The sequence below is a fragment of the Homo sapiens genome, chromosome 1, assembly GCF_000001405.40.
Source record: "Homo sapiens chromosome 1, GRCh38.p14 Primary Assembly".
Lineage (NCBI taxonomy): Eukaryota > Metazoa > Chordata > Mammalia > Primates > Hominidae > Homo > Homo sapiens.
The window spans coordinates 235,444,410-235,456,804 of record NC_000001.11 but is presented as its reverse complement, the minus strand read 5'-3'; the positions used below and the strand labels follow the sequence as shown (position 1 = coordinate 235,456,804).

Sequence of the window (12,395 nt, the reverse complement as noted above, 5' to 3'; positions counted from 1 at the left end):
CTAAGAGTCAGCCCCGGATACTCTTTAGAGCAAGATATTTCCTAGGCGTGGAAGTATCTTAGCCTCTCCCTTAGTCTCCGCTGCCGCTATTGTTGGCTGCCACCTTCTCTCCCTGGATCGCTGCAGTAACCTTCAACAGGACTCTGATCTGGGACCTGCGTCCCCATAGCTGGCATCACCCATCTCCACACTACAAATGAGTTTCATTATTTCTTCCTCATTATTTCAGTTATCAGTGACCTAAATATTCTTTATCATGAAATTTCTAATTAGCAAATATTATGTATGCCTTCTGCTGTTAATTGGAAATAAACTTTAGAAACATGGGGTGATGCTATTTGGTGTGGACCCATTATTGTTAAATTCACCATTCTTGGACCTAATGAAATTCTAAATTTATTTTATTGAGATTTCTGACATATGACTGGCACCCTAGCAAAACTGCATTTTTAAACAGATGTACAGGGACTGTCAATGTGAAATGAAGGAGTCAATTTTGTCTTTAGTCATGATTATATATTTTACGTCTAGATAATGAAGTCACTATCCTTTGCCTTCCAGAAGGTCATTTATAATGGTTTAATTGCTAGAAGTTGTTTCCAAGGGAAAATATGTTTCAATGTAATAAGTCAGGTTTTTTTAAGCCATAAAATATTTTGAGTGTAATATAAATAGCATCGGATGCATCTTGTACAATAGCGTTCTGTGTGAGAGGCCCAGATGTAACACCTAATTCATTATGCTGGGCCTTTGTTATTAAGAACACACGGGGCAAGGTTCAGGCGTTTAATAGATTTGGCAGCAGGAGTTGAATGATGCCTAAGAAGCATTTGTTTGAACATATGTTCCATTTAAGCCAGATATTTTCCTTCAATATGCTCTTTCTTTGCCTTTTAAAATCAGGTTAGTACTTCTCTGTGTTATGCCATTTAGTAAAGACCAAGTGATGGCCTTAGTTGATAGCAGCAAAATTTTGTTAGAGCAAATGTTCTCAACATTTGAGGAATAAGAAATTTAGATAATGACAGGTACAGTTTTGAATGAAAGTGTTAGTGACGCCACTGCATTGGTGTTTGTTTGTTTGGTCGCACTGACTTTCTTATCCCTTTTGTGTCAACAGGACTGTGGAAACAACGAGCTTCAATTTGTTGCTGAAGACAGATGATGACTGTTACATAGACCTCGAAGCTGTATTTAATAGGATTGTCCAAAAGAATCTGGATGGGCCTAATTTTTGGTGGGGAAAGTAAGTTAACCATTCTTAGCCCATTGGCATTCGTGTACCTGATCAAATGTAATTAATAAAGCATAAAATATCTTTTTTTTTTGAAAATGTGGTTGAGATATACAATTTCGTACTAGACTCCTGGGTTTATATATATTTCATTACTCTAGGTCAGTCATGCTGGCTCACATCTGTCATCCCAGAGTTTTGGGAAGGCTGAGGTGGGAGGATCCTTTGAGGCCAAGAGTTCAAAACTAGCCTGGGCAACGTTGCAAGACCCTGTCCCTACAAAAAATTAAAAAGGTGATGTGAGCCTGTAGCCCTTAGCTACTTGAGAGGCTGAGGCAGGGAGACTGCTTGAGCCCAGGAGTTGGAGGCTGCAGTGAGCTATGATTTTGCAACTGCACTCCAGCCTGGGCAACAGAGGGAGACCCTGTCTTAATAATAATAATAAATTTTATATTACTGTACAATTGGAGGAAATTATTTTTTAAATGAAAAGCCTCAGGCTAATGTAGTAAAGGAGGGAAAACAATATGGCTTTTATTCTTATGCCAAAGAAATAAATGGTATTCACATTAGAAGCTACTGTATATTTTGTTAGAGTACGTTTGTGACACGTCTCTGAAACCATTTTCTGTGCTTCCTCAGGAATACAATATGGATTAGTGATTTGGTTTTTTGTTTTCATATATACTAAAACACAGGGTGATCTTCTAGTGCTTTTCATTCAGAAACTCTACAAATGCAACTTTGAGAAAATTTAACATAACCAATCTTTTATCTAAAACAACACTGGATAAATGATAATTCCTTTCCTTAGATTAAGAAAATTTTTTTCTGGAAGGGCAGTGGCTCACGCCTGTAATCCCAGCACTTTGGGAGGCTGAGGAGGGTGGATCACCCAAAGTCAGGAGTTCAAGACCAGCCTGGACAACATGGCAAAACCCTGTCTCTACTAAAAATATAAAAAATTAGCTGGTCATGATGGTGTGCGCCTGTAATCCCAGCTACTCGGGAGGCTGAGGCAGGAGAATTGCTTGAACCCAGGAGGCAGAGGTTGCAGTGAGCCGAGATGGCACCACTACACTCCAGCCTGAGCAACAAGAGCAAAACTCCATCTCAAAAAAAAAGAAATTTTCTTATTTTCTTTCCTCACTTCTACAAGCTTATTCCTTTGTAGTGATGATAAAGGAGTCAAGTTTTAATAGTGGCAGGATATGTGTCAGACTAACACAAGAGGCCACATTATTTTTCATCTCAGTTTCAGACTGAATTGGGCAGTTGACCGAACCGGAAAGTGGCAGGAGTTGGAGTACCCGAGCCCCGCTTACCCTGCCTTTGCATGTGGGTCAGGATATGTGATCTCCAAGGACATCGTCAAGTGGCTGGCAAGCAACTCGGGGAGGTTAAAGACCTATCAGGTAATTAAGAATTTCTTAGCTTGGCGTGGTGGCTCTTGCCAGTAATCACAACACTTTGGGAGGCTAAGGCGGGTAGATCACTTGAGCCCAGGAATTCAAGACCAGCCTGGGTAACATAGCAAGACCCCATCTCTATAATAAAAAATAAAATAAAAACAAAAAATTAAGGATTTCCCACCTACGTATACACTCATCACACCAAGTTTCATCTCACTCGGCATCCCATCATGGAAAGCAGAACCCACTTACCTTGGGGAAAAGCACGTTATTCTCTGTATAGGAATCACCTCTCAAAGGTTAAGGATGCACCCCTACATCCCTCAAATCTTGCCTTTAAATTCTATTCCTAAATCTTTTTTGAGCCTACTTATTATGTTTTCAGCTAGTATTTACAGGTGTCATCCCTGGAGGCTGGGCACTGTGGCTCATGCCTGTAATTGTAGCACTTTCGGACGCCAAGGCAGGCAGATCACGTGAGGTTAGGAGTTCAAAACCAGCCTGGCCAACATGGCAAAACCCTATCTCTACTAAAAATACAAAAAATTAGCTGGGCGCACACCTATATTCCCAACTACTTGGGAGGCTGAGGAGGAGAATCATGTGAACCCGGAGGCGGAGTTTGCAGTGAGCTGAGATTGCGCCACTGCATGCCAGCCTGGGCGACAGAGGGACACTCTGTCTCAAAAAAAAAAAAAGTATAGTCCCTGGAGGAATAGAAAGATTTTTATTCCTAAGGAGGAAGCCCTAAGTGCTTCCTGGAAGCTTAAGGTACATGAGAAGGATGGGTCGTCTGCTCGCGGTTTCATCTTATTACCTTGTGGCAGGGGTGCTTCATATTAAAGACCACTAGCTTTGACTTCATGTGAACCCATTTTTGCTATTTCATATTAGAATAATAACAGAGCAAAAAAGTAGAAAGGTGGTTTATGATGGGAGTGGCTATGGTTTTGTCTTTACAAATAAAATAGCATTAAAATTTTTACATTTAAACTTTATGGGCCATGTATAGGGTGAAGATGTAAGCATGGGCATCTGGATGGCTGCCATAGGACCTAAAAGATACCAGGTAAGTCTTTGGGGATGGCCTCAGGGTTCTTAAGAGTTGAGGAGGTGGATTTCTATATACAGGTTGAGTGTTCTTTATCCAAAATGCCTGGGACCAGAAGTATTTAGGATTTCAGATTTTTTTGGATTTTAGAATAATTGCATTATACTTAGAAGTTGCACATTCCAAATCTGAAAATCTGAAATGCTTCAGTGAGCATTTCCTTTGAGTGTCATGTTGGCTCTCAAAAAGTTTTGGGCTGGGCATAGTGGCACATGCCTGTAATCCCAACACTTTGGGAGGCCAAGGTGGGTGTATCACTTGAGCCCAGGAGTTCAAGACCAGCCTGGGCAACATGGTGAAACCCCCCGTCTCTACAAAAACTACAAAAAAATTAGCTGGGCATGGCAGCGCCTGCCTGTGGTCCCAGCTACTCAGGAGGCTAAGGTAGGAGGATCAACTTGAGCCTGGGAGGTCGAGGGTGCAGGGAGCTGTGAATGCACCACTGCACTCCCACCTGGGCAACAGAGTGAGAGAGACCCTGTCTCAAAAAAAAAAAAAAAGTTTTGGATTTTGGAGCATTTTGGATTTCAAATTTTCAGATTTGGAATGCTCAACCTGTAATGTTTATCACACCATGGGCAGAAAGAATGAGGATCTTCTACCATAATAGTTATGCTGTTGCTTTAATTCACAATAATCCACTAGGTTATTTCTCATACAGTATTTTTCTGAGTTTAAAGCAAAAGGTTATAAATCAACGTTCCCCTGCCTACAAAAAAACTCAGTTTCCATAGATTTGATCAGAAATTATTTGCAGCTTTAAAACTTAACAACAGAAGGCCGAGGCGGGCAGATCATGAGGTCAGGAGATGGAGACCATCCTGGCTAACACGGTGAAACCCCATCTCTACTAAAAATACAAAAAAAATTAGCCAGGCATAGTGGCGGGCGCCTGTGGTCCCAGCTACTCAGAAGGCTGAGGCAGGAGAATGGCATGAACCCGGGGGGCAGAGCTTGCAGTGAGCCAAGATCACACCACTGTACTCCAGCCTGGGCGACAGAGCGAGACTCCGTCTCAAAAAAAAAAACTGAACGACAGAATCCACTGATTGAGTGTGGCAGTCTAAGGATCCTTCAACCCTTCTGACCGATAAAAATAAGACACTGCATGAAATATAAGACATCATTTAAAACACAGTATTGCTGAACCAGAAAAAAAAATGAATCTGCAGAGACCAAAATGGAAACTAGAGCCCTGGGAAGAAATCAAGCACAAAGCTGGCTTTAGCTTCAGAGATTTCTGTTCTGGATTCTTGCAGCTTCCACTTTGGCCATCGAAGGTGCAGGGGACAGAAGGCACATGCAGTGTCTGTCAGTTAGAAGCCCTGCATAGAGCTGGGGTCCCAGAGCAGCTCTCAGTCCAGGACAAGAAATCAACCCACATCTACATGGTCCACTTTGATAGTCTGATTCCTTTGCTGTACTTTGTCTCATCTTTGAATATAATTCTTTTTTGTATCTGGTAATTCTGGGATCTGTAGTCTTTGCTGGGTCTGATTTTGCAGTTTGTTGTTTCTACAACTGTTGTTCATGGCGCTTGTTTTCTGATGCGGTCTTTTTTTTTTTTTTTTTTTTGTGACCATCTCATGTCTTTGGAAACTGAGTCCTCTATTTAAAATGCATTCCTACAGAGAGGATTTACATATTTACATTTTTTTCTGCCATGCATCTAGGAATACTACCATCTATGAATACTTCAGATTTTTGGCTTGGAACTGTTGGGCTTACACAGACTGACTACCAGCCCCAGACCTACCTAAGTGCAAGCTGTGGGTAGGCACTGAGGGGAGAGAGACTCCTTTCCATCCCACTGAGGGGCAAGACTGAGACAGACAAGCTGAGTGTGTTTTGTTTTATCACCCCTGAGGCTGTGGCCCCTCAGAGATCCTAGCTCTGTGTCAGTCTCCCATTAGTCTCCTGACCCTGGGCTTGGCCTTCCAAACCCAAGGATCAGCAGCTGCCTTCAAGGCACAGGCTGACTCAGTGCTTTCTCCTACCCTGTTTCTTCTTTGATCACGGAGTTGAGCCATGCTTTATAAAGGTTTTTAATTTTATCCAACATTTTTGTGTTGTCAAAACATTGAATGAGTTTCTCTCTGTGTTCTGCTACATTGCTGGAAATAGAAACCAATTCACGTAGCTAGGAAATAGTCTAGTGGTTAAGAACTTGAGCTTGGGAGTCTTTAATCCCTCCTCTTCATTTACCAGCCCTGTGACCTGGAACAAGTTTTTTAACTCTTCGTTTGTTCCTCAATTGTTAAGAGGGAAATAGTTCCTACCTCACAGCATTACTGTGAGATTTAAGTGAGATATTTACAAAGCACTTGGTACAGTCCCTGCAATATTGTAAGCATTCCATCAGAATAATAGCTGTTACTAATACTGCCATAGACACACCTTTACTAGCAAACATGAAACTCACTTGTGGTTTCTAAAATCGTTCATTACGGAATGGCATTTGTTGACTAACTCTTCATCCACACACCGCCTTGTTTCTGTATTCCACAGCCACAGGACTGTGGGACCTGGTGCTTTCCCAAATCAGGAGGTGCCACCCCCAAACCTCACCAGTTGTTCCACACACGGAGTTATCCTTGAAATAATTTCAGCATCATTAGAATACATAAAAGCTGTCTACGTGCATACTTTCTGATGCTCTTAAAACAGTTTCACCACTCTCAGATCGGCTTTGGTTGTTTCTCAACAGGACAGTCTGTGGCTGTGTGAGAAGACCTGTGAGACAGGAATGCTGTCTTCTCCTCAGTATTCTCCGTGGGAACTGACGGAACTGTGGAAACTGAAGGAACGGTGCGGTGATCCTTGTCGATGTCAAGCAAGATAACAGGGACTTGAATTAGCAGAGTCTAAAATCAGGGCAGGCAAACGATAATCTGAGTGCAAGTCTGAGGAGTCCCAGGGTTTAGCAGTAGACTGTATGGTCTTTCAAGAGAGTTCCAGACTGGCACTTTCACCCAGAACCAATGCGGTGTTTCTTAATGTTTGCACAAATTTCCTTAAAAATCAACTTGTACTGTAGCATAAGAAAAGTTTTTATTTATCTATTGGAAGATTATCAGAAAAATACCAAGTTATTTTATAAAAGAAAAAATATTTCTAAATCCTGATGCATTGTGGCTAATTAGTAATTCACCATTACCTATAGTTTTTGGTTAAAACTTGGCCTAGTTCAGAAATCTGTAGTAGTAACTGAGAGTTTGAATTTCAACCTGGATTGCAGGATAGCTCTGTAGAGCTAATTAGGATAATTATCAGACAAAAAGGAACTCACAGGAATGCTGTGTGATCATGTGATCACATATTTGAGCAGTGGTCACTTATACCAAAGTTTGGGGTTTCTGGAAATAATGTCAGATTTTGTGGATCTCTGAAGTGGGCAACTTGAACTAACTTGAAGAGGAACCAATATGATTCTCAGTTCTGAACCTTGGTTTTAAAGAAGTTCATTTATATGGTAGACTAATACCCAAATTTTCTTTCTGCCATCTAACATAAATCCTGAAGGTCACAGTTTAGTACTCATAGTTTTTAAATGCTAAAGTTGTGTGAGTATGAATAAAAGCAAATACCTCTCAGGGTTTTAGTGCCATCGGGAAGGATATTTCTAAATTTTGTTGACATTTTGAAAGAATTAGTTTTGCTTTCCTCCTATCATTGCCTAATGTTTACCTAATATGAGTACATTTCAATCAAAGCTGGTTATCACAGAAGAAGATATACTCAGCTTAGGTATAATTGTAGGGAAAAGCATGTGATTAATTTAAGTACTCTTAGAAATAGTGCAACTGAGAAGACAGATAATAGCATATTGTTATACATAGTAGAGGATGTCTCCCCAAGTTTAAGGGACATTTCCCAAAATGACCAACCAAATCATTTCTAGTAACCCTTTAAAATAGTAGTTTCAATAGAGAATTCCATTAAAACTAGTCTTATGACAGATATTAACTGTGTTCAGATTTTATTAGGCTAGCTAGTTTCTTTCTATTTAATATTTAAATCTTATCATGAAATGCAGTGATGAGCTGTAAAAATAAATATGAAATAAGATCAGAAAATCATTAGTAGGTTCAAAGCCTTTATTATTGCTATTATGTATAAGCCTAGAAATGGTCACTTCCCAACAAAAAATACATCCCTTGTTATACTTAGGACAAGTTGTAAACCCCCTTTGTTTTGACAGTAGAATTGTTCCAGTGAATCATTTATTTCCGGTGAACCCCAGACACGATAAGCAGTGTGGTCTTTAAATTTTATTAGTTGGTTGTCACCATCGCACTAATAGACAATCTCCATTTTCCACAGAATAAAACTGTAATGACTTTAGGTCATTTTCCAGCTCGATTTCTCTGCCCGGCTTCTAAAATTAGAACGAAGGTGGGGAAGGATGTGATTAAGACAGATCCGATAAAGCATGCTACACATACTCTTCCCCCACCCCGTCCCCAGGCAGTAGCTTACCCTTAAAATCAAACAAACAGACCCATGGTCTCCATTTAGAATCAAACTGTTGCTATCTAGAGACAGTTTAATGTCATAATACGAGGACTAAGCTTGACTTTGACTTTGTATTTTGCTGGGCAACTTACTTTGGGACTTTCATAGGACAACAGAAGGTCTGACACAGGAACTTTGAGAAGACGTGACAGCAATCCCTTCACCTTTTGAATTGTCATGGAGCCTATCAAAAGACAAGAAAAGTCCATTCGTTCTCTCAAATGACAGTTACCTGTAAAACTAGCTCATGTGATGAGACCACAGTATCATTGCAATGATAGCTGTATCTGTCTTTTTTTTTTTTTTTTTTTTGAGACTGACTTACTTACTTACTTAAGTAAGTCTTGCTCTGTCGCCCAGGCTGGAGTGCAATGGTGTAATCTCGGCTCACTGCAACCTCCGCTTCCCGGGTTCAAACAATTCTCCTGCCTCAGCCTCCTGAGTAGCTGGTGCCCATCACCACACCCAGCTAACTTTTGTATTTTTAGTAGAGACGGGGTTTCACCATGTTGGCCAGGCTGGTCTTGAACTCCTGACCTCGTGATCCGCCCGCCCTGGCCCCCCAAAGTGCTGGGATTACAAGCATGAGCCCAGCGCCTGGCTGTATCTTTCATTTTACCCAAGTCACTTTACCCAAGTAAGTAATTAGGGGAAAGCCTGAGTCTTGTACCACCTGTTCATTTGGGGAACTGTGGGAAACGGAGCCAACGGACCTAAGTGCCCTTTGACAGTGAGTTTCATACCATTTCAGTAGTGTATTTCTTTCTTAATCTGAATAAACCAGAATGATACTCTCAGCACAGAAGAATAAAGGGAGCGAGTCATTAACGTTTTCTTTTTAAACCTTTATGATGACTTCCTTATGAATTACTGAACGAACACTGGAATGGGACTCAGGTATCCTGAGGACATCTCTCAACTCTGGCCTTAGTTCCCCCTCTGTAAAATTAGGGTGCCAACTAAATGATCTACAAGGTCCCTTCCAGCGCCGCCATTCTGTAATTACATCATGTGTAACTGTATTAAACATACACAAGTGACTGCCAGGCATGGGAATGTAACTTCCGAGTAAATGCTTTGGTTTGTTCAGAATACACTATGAACTTCTTTCCAAAGACGGGTTGTGGTAAATAGTGGATATTTTGATTATAAGAAATAGAGTTTCCTTGAAGCTTTAGCTGGAGATACAGCAATAGTGTGGTGTTCCTACAAATATCACAGTGTATTCAAACATATTTTTCTATCAAAAATCATTTTTGTAAAAGCTGTGTGTTTTTATCCAACTTGTGATAATAAATGTTCTTTATTTTAGAATAAAAACTGGCCTTTTTGTATGTATTGAATACAGTTAATAGAATTTATAATTTTAATTAACAATTTGCTCTTTCATGTGTGAATATGTGATAGTCTAGTCCTTTCAAAAGATTGAGACGGACTGGCTTTCATTGTTTGAAGGCTGGTGAGAGAAGGGGTTACCTGCTGCACACCAGTGGGGAGTGACATACTCCTAACACATGCCAGAAACAAAAAGTTTGGTCATAAAACAGTTCTAATAAGAAATCTGCCTGGCCTGCTCACACCTGTAACCCCAGCACTTTGGGAGGCAGAGGGATCAGAGCCCAGGAATTTGAGACCAGCCTGGGCAACATGAGGATACCCCATCTCTACAAAAAATAAAAAATTAGCCAAGCATAGCGATGTACGCCTCTAGTCCCAGCTACTTGGGAGGATCACTTGAGCCCAGGAGGTCAAGGCTACAGTGAGCCATGATCGCGCCACTGTACTCCATCCAGCCTGGGTAACAAAGTGAGAACCTGTCTCAAAAAAAAAAAAAAAACCTGCCTACTCATACCGGTTCTATAGAAGAAAGTAGCAATCTCTATGTAATAAATAGCATTACCATTTTTAATATAGTAACATGACTGTCTTAACATTCAGAAAATATGGAAATAGCTGATTATTTCTTTTTACCTGCCTATGACCAGTGTTAAAAATTTGAGAGGTATACCTCTAGGCCTTTTTTTTTCTGTGTTCATATAAGGATGTATAGGTTTTAAGCCAGGCGCAGTGGCTCACGCCTGTAATCCCAACACTTTGGGAGGCCGAGGCGGGCGGATCATCTGAGGTCAGGAGTTTGAGACCAGCCTGGCCAACATGGAGAAACCCCGTCTCTACTAAAAATACAAAAATTAGCCAGGCATGGTGGCGGGCACCTGTTATCCCAGCTACTTGGGAAGCTGAGGCCGGGAGAGTTGCTTGAACCCGGAAGGCAGAGTTTGCAGTGAGCCGAGATCATGCCACTGCACTCTAGCCTGGGTGACAGAATGAGACTCCGTCTCAAAAAAAAAAGGATGTATAGGTTTTATAATATATTGACGTACTACATTTGTATTTCTTTATGACATGATGGTATAGCTTTTCATGCCAATTCCATGCCATGTCCTCTAGCCATACACTGCCCAGTATGGCAGCCACATGTGGTACTGAGCACCTGGAAAGCGGCGAGTATGACTGAAGAACTCAATTTATTTTATTTTAATGAATTTAAATAGCCACATGTGGTTATTGCAGCCACACTGGACAGCGCAGCTCTAGACTGCTTCACTCTCCTCGGTGACACACGACAGTGCCTTGTGTGCTGTGTGGTTCCACCAGAGCTTATTCACCATTCCTCCGCTGGCAAGTACTTAGATTCTTACTATCTTTACCATTACAAATGCTGCAAGATACAATGCTTGGTCAGAGCATATGTGTATTTTTAACTTTTTATAGTAGTTCCCACATGACTTTAAAAAAGGGTATACTGCTTTTTCATGCCAGCCAGTATTATTTTAATTTTGCTAATCTAATGGATAAAAAAAAAGATATTGCAGTTTTGTTTTGTTTTGTTTTAATTTTAGACAGGGCCTCACTCTGTCACCCAGGCCAGATTGCAGTGGCTCAATCACAGCTCACTGCAGCCTCAACTTCCCAGGCTCAAGTGATCCTCCCACCTCAGCCGCCCAAGCAGCTGGGACTACAGGCATGCACCACCACACCCAGCTAATTTTTGTATTTATTTATTTTTGTAGAGACGGGGTTTCACCATGTTGCTCAGGCTGGTCTCGAACTCCTGGGCTCAAGCAATTTGCCCACCTTGGCCTCCCAAAGTGCTAGGATTACAGGTGTGAGCCACCATGCCTGGCTATTACTTTTCTGTTTAGAAGACATTTACCTATGTTAGTGGTTAAATATTCACAGCATGTGGCATAAGAATTAGTATTAAGAACCTTTGTATGAGTGAGTGAGTGAGTGCACATTTGAGAAACAGAAAAGCAAATAAAAAAGGGGAAAAAAAGGAACCCTTGTAATCTGCTGGCTTACTGCTGAATTTATAGAATATAGGACTCAGATTCTGAATAGTTTAAAGTAGTAATTCTTACATATAATTTCTATGGATAGTCGAATCTCTGCTAGCTACCCAAAGATTAATAAAAACAGCATGAATGCAGTGGGTGTTCCCAAAATGGCTAACTGAATCTCAGAAGACCTGGGATACCAGTCAGGTGTACAGTGTGGAAGTAGAGAAGGGTAAGGCGGCACTGTCACCCCCAGCCAAGGGCTGCATTCAGGCATATGCCCAGACGGCAGGCCTTGGCAGGTCTACCTCAGTGCCTTCCAGAGAAAGACTGAAAAGGAAAGCTTAACGAAACAGGTCTAATGACAATATTCTTGAGCAAATACTCTATAGTGGTAACATTCCCATGAATTGATTTGATGTATCTGCAAAGGCAAAAGGAAACACGCAAAGACATCGAAGGCCAAAAACATTCACAGAAAGTCCTGGCCTGCCAGGCATGGTGGCTCACACCTATAACCCCAGCACTTTGGGAGGTGATGACAGGAGAACTGCTTGAGCTCAGGAGTTTGAGGCCAGCCTTAGCAACATAGCGAGGCTTCATCTCTACTAAAAATCAAAAAAATTAGCGGGGTGTGGTGGTTCGTGCCTATAGTCCCAGCTACTCAGGAGGCTGAGGTAGGAGGATCACTTGAGCCCGGGATCAAGGTGATGGAGCCTGCAGTGAGCTGAGATGGCACCACTGCACTCCAGCGTGAGTGACAGCCAGACCCCATCTGAAAAAAA

The 12,395-nt window shown here is 41.4% G+C and overlaps 2 protein-coding genes across 10 annotated transcripts in view; one reads left to right on the top strand and one right to left on the bottom strand.

The window, feature by feature from the left end:
• The window catches only part of B3GALNT2 (beta-1,3-N-acetylgalactosaminyltransferase 2), a 64,657-nt gene that overhangs the window by 47,648 nt on the left and 4,614 nt on the right, over positions 1–12,395 (top strand). For 3 of the 6 annotated variants that reach the window (XM_047447005.1, XM_047447004.1, XM_047447002.1), the window contains one exon: positions 1,121–1,333. In XM_047447005.1, coding sequence (XP_047302961.1) covers positions 1,121–1,155 — 35 coding nt within the window. In that variant the 3' untranslated portion in view covers positions 1,156–1,333. Of the gene's footprint in view, positions 1–1,120; positions 1,334–2,489; positions 2,650–3,658; positions 3,716–6,464; positions 9,616–12,395 lie in introns of those variants that run through there. The other 3 variants (NM_152490.5, XM_017000394.2, XM_006711749.4) reach the window with 2 other exon arrangements.
• TBCE (tubulin folding cofactor E) overlaps positions 4,362–12,395 on the bottom strand; it is an 85,017-nt gene continuing 76,983 nt past the window's right edge. For all 4 annotated transcript variants that reach the window (NM_001079515.3, NM_001287801.2, NM_003193.5 and 1 more), the window contains 2 exons: positions 8,365–8,456; positions 4,362–8,135 (listed from right to left, as the gene is read on the bottom strand). In NM_001079515.3, the coding sequence (NP_001072983.1) occupies positions 8,043–8,135; positions 8,365–8,456 (185 nt within the window). In that variant the 3' untranslated portion in view covers positions 4,362–8,042. The remainder of the gene's footprint in view (positions 8,136–8,364; positions 8,457–12,395) is intronic.